At 35.8% G+C, this 27018-nt stretch overlaps 1 protein-coding gene across 5 annotated transcripts in view, besides 1 other annotated feature; it reads left to right on the top strand.

The window, feature by feature from the left end:
- PLOD2 (procollagen-lysine,2-oxoglutarate 5-dioxygenase 2) overlaps positions 1 to 27018 on the top strand; it is a 91745-nt gene that overhangs the window by 59052 nt on the left and 5675 nt on the right. For 3 of the 5 annotated variants that reach the window (NM_182943.3, XM_047448319.1, XM_017006625.3), the window contains 8 exons: positions 10232 to 10333; positions 13422 to 13547; positions 15225 to 15346; positions 16860 to 16964; positions 20270 to 20395; positions 22876 to 23017; positions 24209 to 24271; positions 25238 to 25351. In NM_182943.3, the coding sequence (NP_891988.1) occupies positions 10232 to 10333; positions 13422 to 13547; positions 15225 to 15346; positions 16860 to 16964; positions 20270 to 20395; positions 22876 to 23017; positions 24209 to 24271; positions 25238 to 25351 (900 nt within the window). Of the gene's footprint in view, positions 1 to 10231; positions 10334 to 13421; positions 13548 to 15224; positions 15347 to 16859; positions 16965 to 20269; positions 20396 to 22875; positions 23018 to 24208; positions 24272 to 24940; positions 25014 to 25237; positions 25352 to 27018 lie in introns of all 5 variants that reach the window. The other 2 variants (XM_047448320.1, NM_000935.3) reach the window with 2 other exon arrangements.
- Positions 4242 to 4791: an enhancer, noted in NCBI's record as "OCT4-NANOG-H3K27ac hESC enhancer chr3:145815129-145815678 (GRCh37/hg19 assembly coordinates)". NCBI's record gives its function as "activates a minimal SCP1, AML or CMV promoter by ChIP-STARR-seq in primed H9 embryonic stem cells {active_cell/tissue: H9 hESC(primed)}" and the evidence as "EXISTENCE:reporter gene assay evidence [ECO:0000049][PMID:30033119]".

Genomic DNA, 27018 nt, shown 5'->3' with positions numbered 1-27018 from the left:
AACAACCTTCTGACATGCTGAAATGCCTGGTTTAAGTACCTAGAAAAGGGATTAACAGATTTTTGTTGTGGGAAGAAAATACTGGGGGATGTGGGCTTCTGTTCCAGAGGAGTGAGTGATCTGAATTCCAGGAAAAGCTATGTGAATGGAAAGAAATGCAAGGAAAACGCATGCTGGCAACTTCTGCTCCATCAAACTGAAAGAAGTAGATTCCCGTCTCTTCTAGTTAATCTTTCCCCTTTGGTTTTCATCCCATTCCAGCCTTCCTACAAAGCAATCTCTATCTTGTGCCCTCCTTCAGTCTCTATCTTATAATCAGTTTCCCCAGCTCTGTCATCTCCTCATTAGCATTTTAAAGACCAGTAAGTCTCCTCCATCTTACAAATGAAACCAAACCAAGCCAACACAAGGTAGAACATCCTCTTCAATCCACACTGCCTTCCAGGCTGCACCTGGCTTTTCTCCTCCCCTTCACAGCCAAAGTTTCTTAAAATATAGATAACTCGCTGTCACTACTCCACCTCTTCCCATCACAGTAAGAAATGCTCCTGTTAAGGTCCATTGTGAAATCTTTGTTGAGTAGTGGACATTGTTCAGCCCTTATTTTTATTTCACCTAAAGACAGCATCTGACAATTCATTGATTTCGTTTGGTCCTACTTGAATGCTCCTTCCCTTTGCTTCCACGATGCTCTGCTGCTTTGTCTATTTATTTTCTGGGCTTTCCTCTTCAATCTCTATGGTTCTTCAAAATATTTATTTTAAAAATTTTACAGCTCAGTTTGTGTGCATGTAGTGACCCTCATCCTTACTGTTTTAGTAAATGTTCACAGGGGCCTGTCTGGGGCCTCTTCCTTTTCTTTTCCATATACATTGTTGGGTAATTTGAGTCATTTCCTCATCAGTGAATTCTCTCAATGCTGGTGGTTTTCAAATCCTTCCTCTAACTCCTGTGTCTTTCCTAAGCTCCAGGTCAGAATACTCAAGTGGTAGATTTCTGTGTTACATATACCCAGAGATTAAGACTTGCAGCATTACCTCCCCTTATAACCCAGTGGTTAACCAGAACCTGGGTTTTGTTTTGGCTCTAGGCACTTCCCACTCCAAAAGCCCTCTGTTCTAACTCCTGTGCATGCTGGTTTTATCTGATTTTCTCAGTGGCCATAGCAACTTTCTTAGTTCAGGCCACCTGCAACCTCCTTCTAGTAGCAATCACACCCCCAGCAGCCTGGAACTAGAGTATTCTGCCAAAGCAGAAACCCTGTCACTCTACTCACCTATATAATGATTTTCTGTGAACTTAGGTATGAAGTTGAAAATCCTCAACTTGTCATACAAGGCTCTTTATGTTGCTCCTGCTTTAGTGGCCACCAATCTACCACCCCATTCACTCTCCCACTCCCAACCCTACACATGCACACCCTCTTCACATTCAATTTCTTCTCCTTTCTCCCTCTCCGCTCAGCAATACTACATTACTTTCAACTTTGCAGAAGTTTCATGTTGCTGTGTCTACAAATCTTCTGTACATACATGCTTTTTATATATCCTGGAATCCTCTCCCCCTAATTCCCACCTGCTGCATCTCTACCTGCTAAGTCCTTCTTATCTTTTAGGTGTCAGTGTAGTCTTTACTTTTTGGGTCTCTTGTATGCTTTTGTAATCTCTGGAGCTACTTCTGTTACAGTATGTATCACACACTGGACAGGAATGATATTTGCCTGTTTTCTGGTCTCTCTTACTAGGCCTTTGGTCTAGGAATTACAGAAACCTTATCTGTCTTGTTTACTTTTGTTTCCCCAGGGTCCAGCACATGTGTAGCGAATACTACGCTTTCAACAAATCTTAATTGAATGTTAGAGTCAATAATCTAATGACCTAGCATTATTCTTGGGAGTAGTAAGGCAGATTATTTTCTGGCAGGGCAAAAGCATTATCAAATTACTATTGGTTGGCTGGGCATGGTGGCTCACACCTGTAATCCCAGCACTTTGCAAGGCTTAGGTGGGTGGATCACTTGAGGGCAGGAGTTCAAGACCAGCCTGACCAACATGGTGAAACCCCGTCTCTACTAAAAATACAAAATTAGCCGGGGTTGGTGGCACATGCCTTTAATCCCAGCTACTGTAGAGGGCTGAGGCAGGAGAATCGCTTCAACCCGGGAGACAGGTTGCAGTGAGCCAAGATCACGCCATTACTCTCCAGCCTGGGCAACAAGAACAAAACTCTGTCTCAAAAAAAAAAAAAAAAAAAGTTGGTCACTGTAACTTTCCCTAGGCAAATTTAATAGATGAATCCCTTTACTATGTGTGTGTAGTCACTGTTTTAGCTGTCTGTGATACTGTCAGTGCCAGTTAGTCAAGAGCTGGTAGAACCCCACTTTTCCCATAACTACATAGTGTTCTGTTCCTCCTTGGTAATATAATATTTTAATCAAATTTAGGCTGGTGCGGTGGTTCACACCTCATGTCACGTTAGGAGGCTGAGGCAGGCAGATCACTTGAGGCCAGGAGTTCGAGACTGGCCAGCATGGTGAAACCCTGTCTCTACTAAAAATACAAAGAAAAAAAAAAGAAAAAAAATTAGGCAGCTGCTTGTAATCTCAGCTACTTGGCAGGCTGAGGCACGAGAATCGCTTAAACCTGGGAGGCAGAGGTTGCAGTCAGCCAAGATCGGGCCATTGCACTCCAGCCTGGGCGACAAAGCGAGATTGTGTCTCAAAAATTTAAATGTCTTTGAGGAGTGATTTTGGTCCTGAGAATTTAGTGATTATGGATAAGGCCTTATGTTCAGTGATTTCAACGTGATCACCAATTCCTTCCAAATTTCCAGGATGATGCTGACTGGAGCTTTAAAAAGTGACTAAAGGACATATCACAAGAAAAGGAGCACTAATCCTTAATCATTTAGAAAGACCTAGGTGTACTAAGAAATATTAAGTCTTCTTGGAAACATTTTCAGTTTGCACTATCACTGTTTCTGGCATTTCAAGCTATGTGATGCTCCTATTATGTTTTCTCTGATATTATCATATCTAGTTCATTTTGTTATTCTATTAGACAATAAAATATGAAGTTTTATTATAGATATTATATTTGGTATAATACAAAAACTCGAGAAAATTTGAATATGTAAACATTTAACACTAATACTTTATAATATTAGGTTAAAGTTAAATAAATTCAAATGAGTATGTCACGTATTCTTCTTATCCAGGCTGATGGGGAAAGAAGGCTGATTATTACAAACATTTTTTAACCTTTATAAAAGGTGGAAGGATTTTTTGGTATGATTTTTTGTAAGTTAGTTTTACTTATTATTTTGTTTAGTAATGGATGTTTATAATGATAGTGGTTTTGAGCCATAATATTGAACTAAACATTTAAGCAGTTTTTTCATTAAAAATGTATATAATCTATAAGTGGTGAAGTGATTATAGTATGTTGATGATACTAAAGTATAAAAAATGAGCTTATTTCCTACTTTCTCCAAATTTTATGCCATTGGAAAAAATATTAACAATTTTAAGTAATTTTAAAAATCATTTATACTGCCCTCCCATATGGTTTTAATTCATAGCTGTTTTCAGTTTTTATGTCTCCTCAGTATATATCTATGAACATTTATATTTTCCTTTGTTTTCATAGTAGTATATAAACAATTTTGTGTTTCTTAATTAACATTTTATTTAAAACATATTTAGGTATTTTAAATAATTATTTTCATACTTGGTCTGTATAAATCTAATATGAATCAATTTTTAGATAGAAACTGGTTTCTAATTTGAAGGTTTACTTTTTCTTGAAACCCATTTATTGTTAGTAATGTATAAGATGCATATTTTAATGTTCAGCCTTTTCTTTTAAATATCAAACAATATACATCTTAATTATGAATTTGGTAGCTTTTTAAAATTTTACTTTAAGTTCTTGGATACATGTGCTGAACGTGCAGGTTTGTTGTACATAGGTATGCATGTGCTGTGGTGGTTTGCTGCACCTGTCAATCCGTCATCTAGGTTTTTAACTCTGCATGCATTATGTATTTGTCCTAATGCCCTCCCTCCCCTTTCCCTCCACCCCTCAACAGGCTCCAGTGTGTGATGTTCCCCTCCCTGTGTCCACGAGTTCTCATTGTTCAGCTCCCACTTATGAGTGAGAACATGCAGTGTTTGTTTCCCGTTTCTGTGTTAGTTTGGTGAGGATGATGGTTTCCAGCTTCATCCTTGTCTCTGCAAAGGACATGAACTCATTCTTTTTCATGGCTGCATAGTATTTCATGGTGTATATATGCCACATTTTCTTTTTTTATTATTATTATTATTATTATTTTTTTTTTATTGATCATTCTTGGGTGTTTCTCGCAGAGGGGGATTTGGCAGGGTCATAGGACAATAGTGGAGGGAAGGTCAGCAGATAAACAAGTGAACAAAGGTCTCTGGTTTTCCTAGGCAGAGGACCCTGCGGCCTTCCGCAGTGTTTGTGTCCCTGGGTACTTAAGATTAGGGAGTGGTGATGACTCTTAACGAGCATGCTGCCTTCAAGCATCTGTTTAACAAAGCACATCTTGCACCGCCCTTAATCCATTTAACCCTGAGTGGACACAGCACATGTTTCAGAGAGCACAGGGTTGGGGATAAGGTCACAGATCAACAGGATCCCAAGGCAGAAGAATTTTTCTTAGTACAGAACAAAATGAAAAGTCTCCCATGTCTACTTCTATCCACACAGACCCGGCAACCATCAGATTTCTCAATTTTTTCCCCACCCTTCCCGCCTTTCTATTCCACAAAACCGCCATTGTCATCATGGCCCATCCCCAATGAGCCGCTGGGCACACCTCCCAGACGGGGTCGTGGCTGGGCAGAGGGGCTCCTCACTTCCCAGTAGGGGCGGCCCGGCAGAAGCGCCCCTCACCTCCCGGATGGGGCGGCTGGCCGGGCGGGGGGCTGACCCCCCACCTCCCTCCCGGACTGGGCGGCTGGCCGGGCGGGGGGCTGACCCCCCCACCTCCCTCCTGGACAGGGCGACTGGCCGGGCAGAGGGGCTCCTCACTTCCCAGTAGGGGCGGCCGGGCAGAGGAGCCCCTCACCTCCCGGACGGGGCGGCTGGCCGGGCGGGGGGCTGACCCCCCCACCTCCCTCCCGGCCGGGGCGGCTGGCCGGGCAGAGGGGTCCTCACTTCCCAGTAGGGGCGGCCGGGCAGAGGCGCCCCTCACCTCCTGGACGGGGCGGCTGGCCGACTCCCCCCCCCCACCTCCCTCCCGGACGGGGCAGCTGGCCGGGCAGAGGGGCTCCTCACTTCCCAGTAGGGGCGGCCGGGCAGAGGAGCCCCTCACCTCCCGGACGGGGTGGCTGGCTGGGCGGGGGGCTGACCCCCCCCACCTCCCTCCCGGACGGGGTGGCTTCCGGGCGGAGACGCTCCTCACTTCCCAGACAGGGTGGTTGCCGGACGGAGGGGCTCCTCACTTCTCAGACGGGGCGGTTGCCAGGCAGAGGGTTTCCTCACTTCTCAGACGGAGCGGCCGGGCAGAGACACTCCTCACCTCCCAGACAGGGTTGCGGCCCAGCAGAGGCGCTCCTCACATCCCAGACAGGGCGGTGGGGCAGAGGTGCTCCCCACATCTCAGACGATGGGCGGCCGGGCAGAGACGCTCCTCACTTCCTAGATGGGATGGCGGCGGGGAAGAGGCGCTCCTCGCTTCCTAGATGGGATGGCGGCCGGGCAGAGACGCTCCTCACTTTCCAGACTGGGCAGCCAGGCAGAGGGGCTCCTCATATCCCAGACGATGGGTGGCCAAGCAGAGACGCTCCTCACTTCCCAGACGGGGTGGCGGCCGGGCAGAGGCTGCAATCTCGGCTTTTTGGGAGGCCAAGGCAGGCAGCTGGGAGGTGGTTGTAGCGAGCCGAGATCACGCCACTGCACTCCAGCCTGGGCACCATTGAGCACTGAGTGAACGAGACTCCATCTGCAATCCCGGCACCTCGGGAGGCCGAGGCTGGCGGATCACTCGCAGTTAGGAGCTGGAGACCAGCCCGGCCAACACAGCGAAACCCCGTCTCCACCAAAAAAAAACGAAAACCAGTCAGGCGTGGCGGCGCGCGCCTGCAATCGCAGGCACTCGGCAGGCTGAGGCAGGAGAATCAGGCAGGGAGGTTGCAGTGAGCCGAGATGGCAGCAGTACCGTCCAGCTTTGGCTCGGCATCAGAGGGAGACTGTGGAGGGAGAGGGGGGAGGGGGGAGAGGGGAGAGGGGAGAGGGGAGAGGGGAGAGGGGAGAGGGTATATGCCACATTTTCTTTATCCAGTCTATCATTGATGGGCATTTGGGTTGGTTCCAAGTCTTTGCTATTGTAAATAGTGCTGCAATAAACATACATGTGCATATGTCTTTATAGTAGAATGACTTAGAATCCTTTGGATATATACCCTGTAATGAGATTACTGGGTCAAATGGTATTTCTGGTTCTAGATCCTTGAGGAATCACTACACTCTCTTCCACAATGGTTGAAATAATTTACACTCCCACCAGCAGCGTAAAAGCGTTCCTATTTCTCCGTATCCTCACCAGCATCCGTTATTTCCAGACTTTAGCGATTGCCATTCTAACTGGCATGAGATGGTATCTCATTGTGGTTTTGATTTGCATTTCTCTGATGACCAGTGATGATGAGCTTTTTTTTCATGTTTGTTGGCCACATAAATGTCTTCTTTTGAGAAGTATCTGTTCATATCCTTCGACCACTTTTTGATGGAGTGGTTTTTTTTTTTTTCTTGTAAATTTGTTTAAGTTCCTTGTAGATTCTGGATATTGGATGGATAGATAGCAAAATTTTTTTCCCATTCTGTAGGTTGCCTGTTCACTCTGATGATGGTTTCTTTTGCAGAGCAGAAGTTCCTTAGTTTAATTAGATCCCATTTGCCAATTTTGGCTTTTGTTGCAATTGTTTCTGGTGTTTTAGTCGTGAAGTCTTTGCCCATGCCTGTGTCCTGAATGATATTGCCTAGGTTTTCATCTAGGGTTTTTATAGTTTTAGGTTTTAGGTTTGCCTTTAATCCATCTTGAGTTGATTTTTTATAAGGTGTGAGGAAGAGGTCCAGTTTCTGTTTTCTGCATATGGCTAGCCAGTTTTCCCAGCACTACATATTAAATAGGGAATCCTTTCCCCATTGCTTGTTTTTGTCAGGTTTGTCGAAGATCAGATGGTTGTAGATGTGTGGTGTTATTTCTGAGGCCTCTGTTCTGTTCCATTGGTCTATATATCTGTTTTGTTACCAGTACCTTGCTGTTTTGGTTACTCTAGCCTTGTAGTATAGTTTGAAGTCAGGTAGCATGATGCCTCCAGCTTTGTTCTTTTTACTTAGGATTGTCTTGGCTATACGGGCTCTTTTTTGGTTCCATATGAAATTTAAAGTAGTTTTTTCTAGTTTTGTGAATAAAGTCAATGGTAGCTTGATGGGAATAACATTGAATCTATAAATTACTTTGGACAGTTTGGCCATTTTCACGTTATTATGAGCATGGAATGTTTTTCCATTCGTTTGTGTTCTCTCTTATTTCCTTGAGCAGTGGTTTGTAATTCTCCTTGAAGAGATCCTTCACGTCCCTCGTATGTTGTATTCCTAGGTATTTTATTTTCTTTGTAGCAGTTGTGAATGGAAGTTCACTCATAATTTGGCTCTCTGTCTATTATTGGTGTATAGGAATGCTTGCAATTTTTGCACACTGATTACAAAAGATAAACAGGGGAAGAGCTAATCACCTGATCTACACATGAACATAACTCATTTCTGAAACTAATTTGATTTGTAATAAAAATAGAGATGTGAATTTTGTGCATAAAAGCTGTAGTACTTGGGTCACTGTGACCTTGAATAATTGGATATGATTTTTAAAAGGAAGAAAGAGGAAAGGATTTGGGCGGAAAAGTTTCTCTGTCAATGAAAATGACATCATACTTGGAAACATTTTGATATTGTGAAAGAAGAATCAGGAAAATACTATCACCTAGTAGCCCAGGAGTGCCCAGAGCAGCCTAACTGCATAAACAGCCTTCTGCACCGTCTAGAGCTGCCAGCAAAAATGTCTCTAGTTTTCATGAGGAAAACAGATGTAAATGGGGGGTGGTGATGGTGGATAACCTCTGCCTGTGTGGTGAGAGGTCCAAAAGAGGGAAGTTTCTAGTCAAAAGTAATGTTTCTAAAATATCTTAGTTATCTAGGAAACAAATTGAGATAAAAAGCAGAGGGTAGGAAAGTGACAAGTTTAATTCCGAAAACTAAAAGTGCTGTCTTTTATGCTCTAACATTTTAAAACTAGTGATCATTTTAATATTCATATAGGGATTCTAGTAGACTGATCAATAACTCATGAAATAAATTTTACATTTTTAATAAGATTTCTGAGATGGTGGAAATACCAGTCTTTATATATAATAGAGATTTTAGACATGGCCAAATATTTGGGAAATTTTTTCTGTCTTTTAAAAAAACTTTTTCTCAGGATATTTTAAATAAAACTATGCTTTTCACCCTTGCATATTCTTTATCTTTTTAAGAAATAATGCTAAATAGGGGATACATTTCCACATAGATATTTTTCCTTCAAAACCATATTTTGTAGAACACAAATGATTAATGTTTGCCTTTGTCATTTGACAACAGTAAAATATTTATTTCTGTTTTTATTATCAAGACACATTAAAATGACCACATTGACTCTTGAAATGTCGTTAATATCATGACTACATCTTTCCTGCCTTGTAATTTGTTTCCTGAATTATCCTGTAGTCCAGAAGAAATGTGAATGGCTTACTTGTCCATGTCTTCTAATTTTGCTGTAGAGATTAAATGTAGCTATATCTATAATATCTGTACAACACAAAGTTTTTCCCATTTTAAAGTTCTTGTTTCAGCAGTGTTTGTTTCAGTGTTTCAGTACAATAAGAATATTTGAACAGGATCCCAAATATTTGAGAGGAATCTGGCAAAATGGTACCCAACTACTTCATGTATTCCACACTTTAACATCCCCTTTAGGACTTTAAGAAGCTAGAAAACTCTAGTTGACACTTTGGTACATTTTTTGATCCCCATGTTTAACATGGACTTTTTTCTTTTGATTTCATTTTACCTTTCCAATGAAAAATTATTGATCATATAATGATAATAGGGATTTTAGGTGCTTTTAAATAGCATGAGGCAAAATTATAGTTTGTGGAAAGAAAATTTAAAAAGCCTATTAATATGAATGCTCATACCACTACTGGGTATTAAAATTGCAGAAGATGTAGTAATTTCACTTGCTGTTTACTCAGCAGGATCTTCCCTAACATGTTCAAATTCTAGGGATATTAAAAATTTTGTTTGAGGGTTCAGAGCAAATCTAAGTGTGTCTACCTCTGTCACCTATCCTTCTTCCTTCACACCACCCCTCCCCAAAACACACAGAAGAGCACAGAATTTTTTTTTTACAGTTAAAATGAATACCAATAGCTGTTTAAGAACAGATACCTCACAAAGGGGATACTCAGAGAGATCTGAAAGAAAATGGGTAGAGAAATAATATTGTACTTTAGCTTACTGTCACTAGGATTTGTCAGATGACTGTTATTAGTGGTTGCCCTAGATCTGTTTTGATCTGCAAGCTCTCTTTTCCTGAATCAGTACCCCTGAATCACTGCCCAGAAGCTTAGCTTATAGTAGCATAGTTTCCTGGAAGAGCTTAGTGTCTTTTGGTGACAAAGCTTACTTAGTATTTATTTTGTGTGGCGTTGTGTTAGTTAGAGGTCACATTACTACTGCCCCATTTACTGTAGGTGTCTGTGCTCAGCCTTTAAACAGGTTTATCTTATTACTAAATTACTATTCATGTGACTCTTATTTGTATTTTTCCTAATAAGTCTCACTATCCCATTTAAAACTCTATTTCATTGTTTGCTTTTTCTTTTTTGATCATCCTTTCCGGTATTATATCTAATATAATATGAAATAAAATGACCTTTATGATTTATAAGACTTTTTTTTTGACATTTCTAGACATACTTTGTCCTGCTTTACAATTCATATTCTGGAGAAGACTATTCAGTGTGCACCTACAGATGATATATTAGTAGAATTACTAAAGGAATATACCTGCTGCAGAAAACATGCTTTTAAATTAGATGATTATAGAATGAAACCACACCGATGAGAGGCCTGCTTTCATTAATAACCTTTTCCTTCATTTACAAGATTCTCCTGAATTATTTTGGAAACTATGTACCCAATTCATGGACACAGGATAATGGCTGCACTCTTTGTGAATTCGATACAGTCGACTTGTCTGCAGTAGATGTAAGTGGAATTGATTATGTGTGAAATGTAGTAATAGAAAGTACATTGTCATGAAATACTGTGATTTATAGGAAAAAAGGCAAATTATTTTATAGTTTTGATTTTATGATAGATAATGGGGATATAGTGTTAAAACATGATGATTCAGCCATTTGCTAGATTTGTGTTTCAGAACTGTTTTTTGACAGAAAAACCAGCTAATAATTGAACCTAATGAAAGAGTCCTGTGGTTAATATTTAATAGCTTACTACGATTGAGTGCTCTTGTGTTTATTCTGTTAGCTTAGTCAAAGCATTGAGAAAAAATCATTACAAGGCTTCAGCATTTTTATTGACTAATTTTATCTGTGCTGGATTTTCAAAGTTGATATGTAAAAATTAATACTACCTGATTATATAACAAACGACTGTTTTAACTACTTTACATATAATAACTCATTTAAACTTCACAAAACTCCTAAAATAGGTAGTACAATTGACTCAGTTTTACAGACGAGAAAACTGAGGTGCATAAATGTAAGTAACGTGTTTAAGGGCACACAATTTTAAGTGTTGGAGTTGGGATTTGAATATAGGGAGTCTGGCTCCAGACTACTGTATGTTCTTGACACTGTGCATTTTTACCTGTGTGATGTGTATATTCTAGGCATGTTGCTACTTGTATGTATTTCATAGATAGTTATATTTTATCATTCATGTTTTGAGGGTGAACAAAGAGTTGAAAATATTCATTATTAATCTATAAAACATTTTTATGTATCTTTGTTCTAACATCAGCCAGAGCTGATATCTTACAACAACATTTTTATTCCAAAAAATTGCTGACATAACATGGAAGATTATATGTATGAAGCATTGATTCTAGGGAGTTTTGTCATTAAGACTGATTTTTTCCTTCATTCACTGTAAGTTCATTGAGTATCTACAGCAGCCAGAAACGTAGAAGCAATATAGGCAAAAATAAAGCTCTTAGGAATATAGTACTACTAACTCCTGAACCCATGCAAATGCAAAATACTTTTACTGTAATATGTTCAAGCTCCTGAATTAAATAGTTTCTATTCTTATCATTGTCTGAAAGGAGTATAAAGAGTAACTTGTGTACATGTAGGAGCTTATGAATAGAGCCCTATTTTACTTGAAAGTAAGGTTTTTGGCCAGTCTCTCAGATAGCAAACTGTTTCCTATCTGCAAAGAATGCCAGAATATTTCTGAATGAAGCTGCATCATGAAGATGTTTAAAAATTTATCCTGATCTTTTTTTGCCGAAAGTAGTGTTGTCTTCTGGAGGGCGAGTTAATACTTTTTATCTGTTTCGTTTCCTTTTGTATAAACTTTCTGGTGCAAAGATAGAAAAATATTTATATTAACATTTTTTCTTTTTGCATGTAGGAGTATGTAATTTAATACTTAAGCTGTTTTGTCTTACAGCTTGTTAAAATGTGATAGAAAGGAAAACTATTCATTCCATTATGCATAATAAAATTACGTGCTATATACAGCTGTTTTTCAATAGGGATATAAAAATTAAAATTGTGTAGGTAGTTAAATCCCAAGCCTATCATAATGTTAGATGTGGGCCATAGGCAAGTTTCTTTATATGTAAAGTCATAGTGATTATCTCAGAGTGTTGGTAGGAATGTTAAATGAAATTTTACCCACATATATATATGAATATACATAACAAATATATAAATGATATTCTATTTGTATAAATTTAATATACATACACAAAGTGGTCAGTATTCAATAAATGTTAACTGTTATAATGTTGTTGTTATATAAACATGAACTTAGGTTAATAATGGTGATGTAGTGGATTGAAACCCAGCACTTTACCCTCAAATATATGTGTTCTGGGTTACTTAAATTTCTCTAAATCTCATTTTCCTCATGTGCATATTTGGGAAAATAACCTCTAAGGCTTTTATGTAAATTAAATGAAACGCATCATCTCATTTGATAAAGGAGAGTTGTGACCTACTTTTAAAATTATTTTTCCTATTAAATTGAGAACTACTGGAGAGTAGATATTTTGTGTTCTTTGTATTTGTTTATTCATTTAATAATAAATATTTGGGCAAGTGAATGAATAGATGAAGAAATATGATAGTGTACAAGGTGTACTTTTATGTGAGCATATGTTATTATACAGATAATGGAGTAATGTGTGAGGTACCGTGTATGAAAAAATGGAAGAAGGTTGCTAATTCAGCACTTAATGTATAAGGTATTTAAAAATATTTGTAATTCTTTTGTTCAGACTTTAAGACATGGCTTTAGTAAGACATTATAAACAAGTCTTCCATAGATTTCTGGTCATGACACTGTTACATGGGTGTTTACTTATGTTCCTGTCTTCCCCATCTACTTGTAAGTCTTTCAAGCCAGGAACTTTCATTCCTTTTGCCAAATATTGCCCATCTTGTGGATTGGAATGTATAATGGCTATTTCAGAATTGTTTGTGCAATTAATGAAGGATAAACTCCACACCAAAACATATCTAAAGAGAACTTAAGAAAATATATTAAAATATATACATTAAGATAAGATATATTAACATTAATGAAAGAAAATAGCTCTCCTTATACATAATATAATAATGAAAGGAAATAAAAGGATAAAGTCTCAGGTCTCCCATGATTGCTTTTTATGTGCTCAAAATTAAGCCCTGAACTTTAAGCCGAGGAAACAAAAAGAGAAACACAATTAGTATTTGGTTTCTTAGACGAAACTTTCAAAATAGCTTTCAGATGTGAAGAAGTTTCTGCAAGGGCTATTTTAAAGGAAGCACTGACTAGTAGTGTAGGCAGTACCATGAATTACATTCATGTAATAAATAGGATAATTTCATCTTTAAACCTAACTCATAACCAAGATGGGATTCAGTAAAATCACTTTGATTGGGGGGGCCACAAAAATTTGTTTCAAGTGTTAGAGAACTGCCATGGAGCAATTCAAATTTAGCAGATTATGTTGAATTGATATTCTAGTATTTTTTATGTCATGCTGATTAACATTTGAATAAAATTTAAAACAAAACCATACTAATGATAATTTTATTTTTATGTTTGGTGTAAAACAAAGGTCCATCCAAACGTATCAATAGGTGTTTTTATTGAGCAACCAACCCCTTTTCTACCTCGGTTTCTGGACATATTGTTGACACTGGATTACCCAAAAGAAGCACTTAAACTTTTTATTCATAACAAAGTAAGTATTTGAGAAATGAATATTTTATGTCAAAACTATTTTTGGTCTTTTTTGGAACTATTTGTTATTTATGTCAAATAAAATTCATTGGGTTAAGTTCAGTGGAGGATTTTTGGAGTAATTACAGCCCTGCCTTTTTAGGACCTAAGGATTTTAGATTCTAGAGACTAGCACCACAATATTGATATGAGCCACATGAAACTGCCAGTTTCTGTAGATCAAAAATGGCTGAATATTAGCCATCATCATATAGCTTAAATTAATATATAATCAAGGAGATTCAAAGGGCCTTAAATCCCTTTGCCTTTGGGTTAGTTCTGGTACTTTCTTCTATAGAATTGGTCATTAAATTGTTTGTGATTTAAGACAATAACATATAAGAACTTGAAACAGTTTCCAGATAGAGTACTGTTTTGATTAATTACACAAGGGCATGCCATTCCCCAAAGGATTTTGATACTGTCATTTTCTTCAAAAATATTCAGAGCCCCCTACATACCTCCTACATATTATCCAAACTTGAAAATATTTTTCCTCAGTATTTTTACAGTTATTTCTTGTCTACTAAAACCACTGGTATTTAACATTGTCTAGAAAAACTCAATAGCTGTGAAGTGTGCGATTTTCTCTCTTCTGTCCTAATACTGTTTGTTTACCATTGTTCCTTTTTCCTAATGTAAATGTCAGCTAACCATTCACATTGTCCAGAGAATATTTTAACTGCAGAAAACTAGCTTAAATGGATTTAAAATGGTGAAAAATTGAGCATTTGCTTTGTAAAATATGTTGTAATATATATACTTTCACTAAAGTATTTTGTTTTTATGTATTGTCTTTTGTTTATATTTTCCCTGCTTTCATGGGGCCTTAAAATCCTTGATGGCGGACGTTTTTGTCTTATCTTTGGTTATTTAGTATTAACTCTATGTTGCTTTTATGTGATAAGTTATTTTAAAAATCTGCAAAAAGCAACAGCTTTTCAGAAAACTTAGAGACTTGACAAATAAAAATCTCTGAAATGCTCTAATGATGGAGACAGATAATCTTACCTGAATTTTAGCACAGTCGAATCACACTAAAATTGGTAACCTTTATGTTGATGGTTTTCCCATTAATCTGTCCATAGAATTTTGTTAAATTTTTCCTTTTTTTGTTAAGTAAAATTTTTTTATATATGACCATTTATTTTACTCTCTGGTTTCAAAGGGTATTTTGTAAAATGTGATTATTTAAGTTTATAACTCAGATTGATGGCTATTATGCTTAGTAGACATTTTTTCTAGATATTTCACAACATATATCTAAGATTTCTAGGCTACAGGCCGTGTTTTTCTTCTCCAGTTGGAAACATTTTATATTACTAAGGATTTAAGTATTTATGCAAACACCTATTAAAGATTTAAGTATTTATACAAAGACTTGTCTAGCAGTAGATATTGACAGAATTTTGAAGCATCTTCTCTTTAAGAATATTGATATATATGTATTTAAGATTATTCATGTGACATTTAAGTGATATTTAAATATACCGTGTTTAATATGGTTATTATTTTATATGTAATTGAATATCTGAATTGTAGAATTCATGACCTTGAATGTGAAGCACTCTCTAATATGAATACTTCAGTCATCTGATTGTCTTATTCTCTAATTTTTGATTTTTAAAATATGTTACAGGAAGTTTATCATGAAAAGGACATCAAGGTATTTTTTGATAAAGCTAAGCATGAAATCAAAACTATAAAAATAGTAGGACCAGAAGAAAATCTAAGTCAAGCGGAAGCCAGAAACATGGGAATGTATGTTTTAATAAATTAAAATTAAATTAAATTATTTTACTAAGGAAACGTTAAGAAAAAATAAACTTTTAAATTAAAATTGTTATGCCAAATTTGGGTGTCTCAAACTATTTGTTTGCGTATGCAGTAGCCAACTTAGACTGTGTCTATGTTTGTACGTATTTATACATAAAGGGCTGTAGAAGTTACTTATGTTTTTCTTTTAATGGCTACGAGTCCACATATTTAATCAAATGATGAATCAAGGTAAGATCAATTTTTTTTAAATGCAGATAAATGAATAGTATGACTTTCATAGCAGTGACTTAAATTTAAATGTACACTCTGAAGGTTGTGTGTGGTAAAAGTGTGTTTATTTAGACTGTGGGGGAAACAGGTGCTCTTACTCTCCAGTTAGTCACTGAGCTAGATAATACTGTAATCCCAAGAAACGGGCATTGTAGGCCTTTTGTTTAGCCCTGTTAATGCTTCATTCTACTAATAAAACTCTAGTAATAGTAAAAAAAATCGTGTATTCAATGAATATTAATTGAATATGCCAGGAACTGTGTTAAGAGTAGGTGATAAAAAGGTGAAGACATGATCCATTCTCATCAGGAAATAATCTTATCTACTACGAACCCTCATGCCTGTGCTGCAGAAGCTGAGGTCCCAGAGGGATGGATTCTGACTAGATTAGGGGTCTAGGGATAGACAGAAAAGAGGCCTCTGAAAAACCAAACTGATGTTATTACTAATGATTCCATAATTTATTCATTGGAGAATCCTCTGGGTCCACATTCAGAACATATTTTCTTTAATATTTTTCATGATTGTACCTAGTGCTTCTGTCTGGTATTTTGTTTGATAGTTGCTTCGAACAAATATGGTGTGGAGACACACACTGACAACAGCAAAAAGTGCTGACTGGGACCGACAGTGAGGGAGGGGAGCCCAGAGGGAAGTTGATAACCCAAATGTCATCTGGTATCTCCAGTTGTTCATTCCTTGATATTGCTGATGATAATGTTACAAACTGTACCAGGGAAAGCAAACATAGTCACTGCCCCTGGTAAGAAGGCAGGGGAATAACTATCTTAGAAAATTTGATGAAAATCAAGTTTGTAAAATATTAATACCTGAAAAGTCATATACTTACATCTCCAACATTCATTTAAAACTGAGTTGTGGGATATGTAAGTTGCATTTGTGTGCATGTGTATGTATGTATGTATGTATGCAGAAACATTTTGATTTGTGGATGTTTTATGCCTTAAAATATTTACTGGCTTGAAAATATATTTTAACTGGCTTAAAATTTTAGAGGTGAGCTCCCTGTGAATATCCGTGTTAAATTGACCATTTTGAAATTTAAGACAATATATATATCGTTTCAGATATTGTTCCACTATTTTGATCAGAAAAGTATGCTAGAGAACCATATTTTACATAAAAGAATATATATATTAACATTTTTCAGTCAGCAGATATTTATTTTATGTCATGCCCATTTCATTTTCTTTTTCACTGTTAGGGACTTTTGCCGTCAGGATGAAAAGTGTGATTATTACTTTAGTGTGGATGCAGATGTTGTTTTGACAAATCCAAGGACTTTAAAAATTTTGATTGAACAAAACAGGTACTTTCTAAAATTCGATATCAATTTATTGTTAAAATGATTATTTTTCATATTGATGTGAACATACTGTAGTAATTGTGTATTTAGTAAATTGAGGGAACTTAGTTATGTTCTACAGCTAATAAACTTTCAATTCAAGTTAATTATTTTTCATTTAAAGGAGTCATAGAAAACAACCTGAATACATCTGGAATTATTTAATATTAGTTATAATCACAAATACAGTTACTTGGCCCATTTTTCTGTTTAAAGCTAGGTGAAATTATGATACATCTGATACTAAAATTTAGAGTTGTTTTATTCTCTATAGATATTTTTAAAGTAGAATTTCACAAAACTTCTGACCAAGATAGTTATTGCATACAGAGTTGTAGTCCTTAGTATCAGAAGGAAATTTCAGAGGTACAAATCATCCCACAGTCATATGTGTAGCTTTATTTACTGTTGAACTAGTTATCACTTCACAGTGTCTGTTTGCTCATTTAACTCAATTGAAATGGGAAAAAGACACCATGTATATCAGCTTACAATGATACTAAGTTTGTTTGTCAATACTACTGCTAATACTAATAATACCATTTTTACTACTCCTGCTAAGACCTCACCTTTAACAAGTGCTTATTAAGTGCCAGGTATTGTTGTAAGTACATGTATTAACACAATTATTTCTCATAATAAATAGAATGTTTAGCGGGTGAAATGTTAGAATGATTGTTTTTATTTTGTTAAGTAAGATACATGGGAAATGTAGTATGCTTTATTAACCCACCCTATATATAATATCTATCTATATATATATATCACTAGAATTTGTAAATTTGAGAATTTAGTTCTTACTTCAAAAATCTAAGACCTCTCTGTAGCAACCTGTATATACAGCCCAACTGTATAGCTGTGTTATAGATACTCAGTATCTAAGTTAACTATCTATATACATCGTAGGTAATTTTCCAAAGCATATGAATGAGGTTTTGATCATTTGGCAAGGAAAAGCAGTTGTGACACCCTAGAGATATGAAATAGTGTATGATTTGTAACTCTTAAAACCTAGTTTAATTCAGTACTATTTTCTTGAATTTGCATTGTTTTCTCTTAATTTGATTGAAATGCTATAGTGTGTAATGCCCATATGCTTTTTAATAATTAGATATTTTCATTTTATGACTATAATTTATATATTTATTAATTATTCTCTTAGTGAACTATTTAATGAATTTACACTATGTATTTGACATATATCCCTCTTAATATTAAACATTTTAAATCTTCTAAAAGAAAAAAAATTCCCGGCCGGGTGTGGTGGCTCACGCCTGTAATCCCAGCACTTTGGGAGGCCAAGGTGGGTGGATCACGAGGTCAGGAGATCGAGATCATCCTGGCTAACACAGTGAAACGCCATCTCTACTAAAAATACAAAAAATTAGCCGGGCGTGGTAGCGGGCACCTGTAGTCCCAGCTACTCGGGAAGCTGAGGCAGGAGAATGGTGTGAACCCAGGAGGTGGAGCTGGCAGTGAGCCAAGATTGCGCCACTGCACTCTAGCCTGGGCGACACAGCGAGACTCCGTCTCAAAAAAAAAAAAAAAAAAAAAAGAAAAAGACTTACCTGCCATCTGGGGCCCTTGCCCCTTAAAGAGTAAAACTCAGGCTGTGTCTCCATGGAATTCTGTTAGTTAATCAAAGGTTTAGGTTTATGTAATACCTATGGTTCTTGCTTCTGTATCTAGACATGTGGTTTCTATAGTCTATTGACATATGCCAGGAATGTTGCAAGATTTAGTAGATTGGACTGAAGAGTAGAGAAAGAGATTTGACACATCTTGGGCATGTGGCTTTCTACCTTCTCATCAGCTCTCTTTTTTCCTCTTCTCTCCCTATCTCTATTTGCTCCCTTGCTCTAAATTTTACTCCTTAAATTGTATAATAATATGAATCATTCCTCAGCTGCCATCCTTACATTTTTATTCACAAAAACATTGAGGTATACAGCAGATGAATTTTGGTTTCCCAAATTTGTTGGTTTAAACCTTTTCAGGAGGCAGCTGGGATTATAAATTACAAGTTCTTTTTAAATTAAATGTTTGATATTCATATTGAATTATTTCCCAAATTAATGTATGTAGATTCTAATTCATGTTATTATTTCCAGTATTGTAGGTATTCAAAACAAAACAAAACATGTGTTTCTGATTAATAGTTTAGTAGGAATTCGGAAGAATAAACCAAAATTTATTATTTTGCATGATGTGTATTTATTTTTATTTATTTATTTTTTTGAGATGGAGTCTTGCTCTGTCGCCCAGGCTGGAGTGCAGTGGCATGATCTTGGCTCACTGCAACCTCCGCCTCCCGGGTTCAAGCGATTCTCCTGTGTCAGCCTCTTGATTAGCTGGGATTATAGGTGCGTGCCACCATGCCTGGCTAACTTTTTTTGGTATTATTAGTAGAGATGGGATTTCACCATGTTGGTCAGGCTGGTCTCAAACTCCTGACCTTGTGATCCGCCCGCCTCGGCTTCCCAAAGTGCTGGGATTACAGGCATGAGCCACTGCGCCGGGCCCGATGTGTGTTTATTTATTTCACTTTTGTGCATGTAATAGAAAGGGCCCGGCTGGTCTTCACAAGATAGAGGTGAAATAGGTTTTCTTTTTTCATATAAAGAATAGTTGTTCCATAAATTTGCTTTCTAAAATAGTTAAAGGAAAGTTCAGTGTTGCCAGGACTAGCTTACTGTAATCACAAGTCATTTTTTAAAGTCATGGAAAACTGGAAACATACTTAAGTAATTTGAGACTTAATTACAGGAAAGCTTTGCCTGTTTACAAACATCTCAGTTCATCTTCATTCATTTTTTACAAATTCAACAAATATTCATTGAATATCTTAAATGCACCAGGGGCTGTTGTTCACCCAGTGACAATGAAAATATTTGGTTTCATTTAATATAGGTTCCGAAATACTTTAGTTAAACTTAAATATAATTAAATAACTAAAGTAGTTTCCCTCTGTTGGATGTAAGCAAGGCATTTTTAAAAGTCATTTTTATGTATTCATTAGCATTTTCAATTACTTTTTCCTTCTTTGTTACTCTTTTTAAGAAATATGATTGAAAATTAGCAATATACTTACTTAAGAAAAGATGTTGGGAAAGAAGATCCTTATTTTATTTTTATTAACTACAGGTTTGTTGAATGAGCTTTCTTGTGTTATATGTCATACTAAGCCCAAAATACATAATTCTGTGGTAATTTAAAAATAAATAATTATATAGGTTTCTCTCTCTCACACACACTCTCTCTGTCTTTAGAAAGATCATTGCTCCTCTTGTAACTCGTCATGGAAAGCTGTGGTCCAATTTCTGGGGAGCATTGAGTCCTGATGGATACTATGCACGATCTGAAGATTATGTGGATATTGTTCAAGGGAATAGAGTGTAAGTTACTTGGTTTAATATTTTAATGTGAAATACCATAATCTAAAGATGTAGTCTTGTTAGTATTACTTGAAATTTTTTTTGCATTCATCTCTTTTCTTTATAGTTAATGGGAATTTGAGAACCCAAGACCACTTGGAATCCTGAAATACTAGTATAAAACTAATATCTTAAAAAAATGTTTTTAAAGTCCCAAATCTTCAAAGGAACAAGCTCATTGCTGTGGGGAATACTAAGAGATAATATATGTTTACCATACTCACATTATGGTTGATAGAAGAGTAATACTCTTTATTTAAAAGCTTGGAAAGGGGATTTAGTTTACTAACTTTTTAATGGTTATAATTAAGGGTTGTTTTGATAGGTTTTAAAATTTATAATTAAGCCAACAGTAACACTAACAGCCAGAACATTCCAGTATTCCTGATTGCATGAGTTTTTTTGTGTGAAATAGCTATTATTCTGCTTTAAATACAAGTTTTTTTTACCAATATTAGATTTTCACTTCTAGAGATTGAAAAGAATATATTTGCTGAAAAGTGTGTGCATGATTTATATTTATTTCAGAGACAATGGTTGATTACTAAAAATAATCACAATTGAAATAGTTTTGCTAAGGTAATATTGGAGAAGAATGTCATTCTTTTTTTCATACATATGATGGACCAGAGTGACTAAGACATTACATGCTTTGCCTTAGTTCTCAAACATGTCAGCCTGATTAAAAAGGGGCAGTATACTCTCAGGACTAAAAGGATGTGCCCTTACATTTAGAAAAAAAAAGGCACACGTTTCTGTTCAAACAGTTGAGTGGTAAAAAGATGTGTTGCTTGTGGAAATAGTAATTGGTGTGGAAAGCTTCAATCTGAATGATGTAAATACAATAAAGGTTTTTGTTAGCTGCAATTAAAATGCACAGTGGAGGAGAAAAGACTATTAAGATCGTATTCTGTTGTTTCTGTGCAGTTGTATTGACTCTGGGTGAGTTGTATAGACAATATACCTGATTGTATCTTTGGGCACATCACAAATGAGGGTTTGTGAAAGTAGAATGGAAAATTTGTTTCAAGTTGCTTTAGGCATTGGTGATTTTCTGTCCAACCTCCTGTCATTCTTGTCTAAAGTATAAGGAAAAAAATATGGCAGAAGCTTTTGATCTGGAATACACTTCATGTCCAAAAGCTACACGAAGGAGCAACTGTGTGTGTGTGTGTATGTGTGTGTGTATAAGTTGAAACACTGAATAATTCCCCAGAGATTAATTTCTGAATTTAGCTGACACGTTGTATACAGTAATTCCCCTTTATCTATGGTTTTGCTTTCCATGGTTTCAAGTCTACTGTGGATTGAAAATACGAAGATATGTTGAGATAGAGAAAGTGTAAACATTCATGTAACTTTTATTACAGCATATTGTTATAGTTGTTCTATTATTGTTGTTAGTCTTACTGTACTTTATGTATAAATTAAACTTTATTATAAGTATATATGTGTAGGAAAAAACGTAGTGTATGTGTAGCGTTTGTTACTATCTGCTTTCAAGCATCCACTGGGGTCATGGAATGTATCACCCTCACATAAGGCGGGGACTGCTGTACTCCTTAAGGCATTTTTCTTTGAGGCTAGTCTAGTAAGACATAATATCATATTTCCGTTAATATCTAACTGCATTTCTTGGTCAAGATCTTGCCTTGATGTTCTCTAAAAGAAAGGCGCACAGTCTTAGGGGCAAAACTTGTTTTGCAGTTTTTATGAAATCAGTCATGTTCAGAGTGAGAATATAGATGTGGGAAAGGATGCAACGTTCATGTGCTCCCAGCTGTATTTCTTCATGTTTTCCTTTTTCTATAAAATATTTAAGATGGCTTAATGAATGGTAAGAGAATATAATTTTGGAGAATTTTAGGCTATATTCAGTGGTATTTTGGTAAATGTGTAACAACTGGCTTTTGGAGGTGGAGGATTCCCTGATTTAAAGTGCTTGCCCATTTGTTTGGTGTAAATACTTCTACCATGGCTGATTTCAAGTTTCCAATGTGAAATTACTGAACATGGACTTGGCAGAAAAAGTTAACTTTGGGGAGCCAGTATGAGCTGGGTCTAGTGCACCACTGGTTGTATGTTATGATTCATGCTATCAAATTCTTTAATTTTAAATAGAAACACCGTCTATACAATAGATTATAATAGTCTAATTGTAACAACTGATTGAGATATGATAGCTATAATACAAATGCCAAACAGATACCAACCCAAAATTGAAATGTATCCAAAGGGGCAGTGGTTTATCTCCTAAATCTCATTAAATATAGTGTATACAATGTAATCTTATATATATATCATTGAATATATTTGTATGTTGATTCAATAATTTATGTATACAAAATCTAAACACAAAGCATTTATTTTAAAAAGGTAAAAATGAAACTTAAAATTGTTTGTATTTGTGGTATATAAGAATGTCTTCTCTTTACTTTCAGAGGAGTATGGAATGTCCCATATATGGCTAATGTGTACTTAATTAAAGGAAAGACACTCCGATCAGAGATGAATGAAAGGAACTATTTTGTTCGTGATAAACTGGATCCTGATATGGCTCTTTGCCGAAATGCTAGAGAAATGGTAAGATATGCAGTGATGGCTTGCTTGAATGTTCTTATAAGATGGCTTGCTTTACCAGTTGGTGTGTCACTGTGTTTTGATGCCCTTTGTCTTGCTAATTTGTAAGTACTAGCCAATTTTTTTGGTTCTGTGTTAAAAAATTTGGGAGTAATTTTGGAGATAATTTAACATTTACTTATAGAAATGGTATGAAAAATGTTAGTTTTTGTGCTCGGGCTAATTCATAGGCAACCGAGTTGGATTTCAGTAATAAAGATGTATTTGTTACAAATCAGCTTTGCTCTTTTAAGAATACATCTTTAATTTGAAATTCTATAGTGAAAACTTGACCTAATTAAAATTAATTAGATAAGCTTCGATGAAACAATATTTCCAGATTTAAGAATATTTTTGTTCTAAAATTAATGTCCACATTTTCTCTAACTAGGTAAAATTTTAAAATTATTATTAACTTCACATTCTTAGAAAGCAGGATTATTACCACCAAACTAGTAGAAGTGTTGAGATACATAGTGTATTTACTCTAAATAAAATACTAATGATACCTTGCTGCACTACAAATGTACTTTTATTATAAAACTTAAAATGACTAGAAAATAATTTTTCAAAATGCATAAACATGGCTTAGAATATATTGATATGATTTTTGGTTTTAGAAATGATGGGGCTATTTTATTTCCGATTTCCAAATTTATATAAGCAATTGTGATTTGATGAAAAGTCAGAAAAGTTGGCAAGTATTTTTTTCTTAGTTTAACAAAGCATGTATTGTTTGAATATGTTTGTTTTCTCTACAAACCTGTGTGCATTATTATTGAATATCCTCAGTACTTGTGATAGTATTTTGTGCTCATGTTTGGCTAATTTGACTCAACAGCGCATCATGGAATGGCCTCTCTTACTCATTTTTTCCGTTGTCTTATGTGTCTAATGAAAGTTCTGCTAAGGAATGAGCTTAGACTTATGTTTGACCCCACCACACCTCCCAAAAAGAAAAGAAAAGAAGGGCTGAAAGAGCTGGAGATGTTTCTTTGTGTGTGCTATAAGCTTTGCTTGTTCTGCATGTTGTCTATGAAGGACATTTCAGAATGTTAGCTTTTGATCAACAGCTGCTATTATTTTTATTTACCAAAGAATACCTGAGAGAGCGGGTGTACAGGTCAACTTACCCAATGCTTCTCTTCATTTTAGACTTTACAAAGGGAAAAAGACTCCCCTACTCCGGAAACATTCCAAATGCTCAGCCCCCCAAAGGTGTTATTTTTACTTATTTTATTTATTTTTGTTTATTTAATATTTGATATAGTATATTGCCTAGTAGTAAAGTTTCTTTAAGGGCCTTATTTGCATTTAGCTTGGTAAAATGTTGATTTTCATCAGTCATCTGTGTGTTTGCGTGTTTTGTGTGACTTGGGCATGGGTCTTGTGTGATAGTCAACTCTTGGTTCTTTGAGCTGATTTATATTTTATGGCTGACAGGTGACAAAGTTAAACCTAAGTCCCTTTCATTCTTTTTTTAGGTTTTTATTTCTTTTTAAAGGGAGAGAAGAGGGTAGAAGTAGGTATAAAATAGAATTTGATTACAGTAAGGTTTAGGTGCACCTTATTGAGTTATTAATCACTAACTCTTTTACTATTAAAACAGGTCCAAAAAGAAACACATTACCTAGTGGTGTTTGCCACATTTGTCTGGTTTGGGGCAAGAATATGAGACTGGTTTTCTTTATCTGCCTTTATAATGTATGACTCATTTGCGTGTTAGCCTTTAAACATTAGAAAAAGAAAGGAATGAAACAGACTGGTGAAATATAACTGGCAGTGAATTCTTGATTAAAAATGTGATGCTTTCTTTGAAAGAGAAAGAAGCCAAAAGAGGTATAATTCATTGCACTGTGTCTCAAAAATATTTCTGCTTTCAAACAGGAATTTTTTCCCCGATGTCTACATCTAGGATCAATGAGAAAGGGACAAAAACAGTCCATTCTTCTTTTTTTCAGTTGAGTGTCAGTGCTATCTACTAGTTTTGTGTGGTGTCTGAATTCATAATCAAAATTTGAGTTTTTTATTTTAAACTATGCACATTTTATATGAATACTAAAAATGCATGTTCATAAATGAAATATAAAGATAGAAATTAATATCTTCTATATATTTTTCCTATGATTAAATTTACTTTTGTACCTACCTCTAAGATTAATACTGTTATTTTCTGGCATATAGGGTGTATTTATGTACATTTCTAATAGACATGAATTTGGAAGGCTATTATCCACTGCTAATTACAATACTTCCCATTATAACAATGACCTCTGGCAGATTTTTGAAAATCCTGTGGTATGTATTTCATACTCAACTTTATTATTTTTCTATAACTGTAAGTGGTTATAAATCAGTTGGTTAATAATATGAAATGTGGTTAGAGGCTTTTTAAAATGACATAAGGTGAAATGCACATCAAAACCACAATGAGATACTGTCTCACACCAGTCAGAATGGCTATTATTAAAAAGTCAAAAACAACAGATATGGGTGAGGCTACGGAGAAAAGGGAATGCTTGTACGTTGTTGGTCGGAATGAATTTGGAAAGCAGTTTGAAGATTTCTCAAAGATCTTAAAACAGAGCTACCATTTGACCCAGCAATTCCATTACTGGGTATATAGCCAAAAGAAAGTAAGTCATTTGACCAAAAACACACATGAACCTGTATCTGTTCGTTGCAGCACTATTCACAGTAGCAAAGACATGGACTTAAACTAGGTGTTCATTAATGGTGGATTGGATAAAGAAAATGTGTTACATACACACCATAGAATACTATACAGCCATAAAAAAGAACAATATTATGTCATTTTCAGCAACATGGAGAGAACTGGAGGCCATTACCCTAAGTGAATTAATGGCACAGAAAACCAAATACTGCATGTTCTCACTTATGAGTGGGAGCTAAACATTGGGTACTTGTGAACATAAATATAGGAACAGTAGACCCTGGGGATCACTAGAGGAGTGAGGGAGTAGGGAGGGGGACAAGGGTTGAAAAACCAACTAATGGGTACTGTGCTCACTACCTTGGTGATGGGATCAGTCATACCCTAAACCTTAGCATCATGCATTATACACTTGTAACAAACCTGCACATATACTCCCTGAATCCAAAAGCTGAAATTGTTTTTAAAAAGTAAATAAAAAGAAAAAAATTAAAACGACATAATTAATTGTATTTCATGATCTATAGAGTAGATCTAAACTTGACCAATAACTTGTTTTTATTAAGACACTTATTAGCTTTGGGGAAGGGAATTATCAATTTGTTCTCTTTCAATATTCTATTATTTTTGTTTTGTGTATTCAAAAGCACCATCCAGTTTTAATCACAATTTTAGAAACATGTTTACAAATAGTTCACATATTATAATAGTTTGATTTTTTAGAAGAAAATTCAAAAAGTTTTGTTTAGGAAAATACATTTTTTAAAATTATTTTTTGACAATTTTGTGAATGTACATCAAAGATAGCCAGAGAGAATTGCAGAGAAAGCTGATTGATTCAGCATATGGAGTCTTAACTTGAAGAAACAATTTCCTTTTAAAATCTGTTTTCTTCTTCTTTTTTTTTTTTTTTTTTTTACAGATTTGAGTGGTACAGTAATTAGCTCCTTTTGTGTTTTACAGGGACATCTTTTTGTTAGGCAAGTGGCACACTTATTCAAGGGAAAATGCTGTCTTCAACAATCAAACCTGTAACACTGCTGTAATGATTTTCCCCTTGCCAATAGTAAAAGTTTTAAATTGCAGACTCAATCCACCTGATGAGAATTGTCCTTTATTTTGTAGGAATAGTTGAGATATGGGGATAGTAAATGTAGTAGTCTCTGAATATTCTGAATAGGAAAATATTATCTTTTGACATTTTGTTATTTTAAAAGTACTTTTGTTCCATTTTAACCACATACCTTCCTCTTTCACAGAAATAAAGCTGAAAAGAGGTGTTTTCTAGTCG

Source organism: Homo sapiens, chromosome 3, assembly GCF_000001405.40.
Source record: "Homo sapiens chromosome 3, GRCh38.p14 Primary Assembly".
Lineage (NCBI taxonomy): Eukaryota > Metazoa > Chordata > Mammalia > Primates > Hominidae > Homo > Homo sapiens.
Note: the sequence above shows the minus strand (reverse complement) of the source record. Positions and strands in the feature narration are given on the sequence as shown.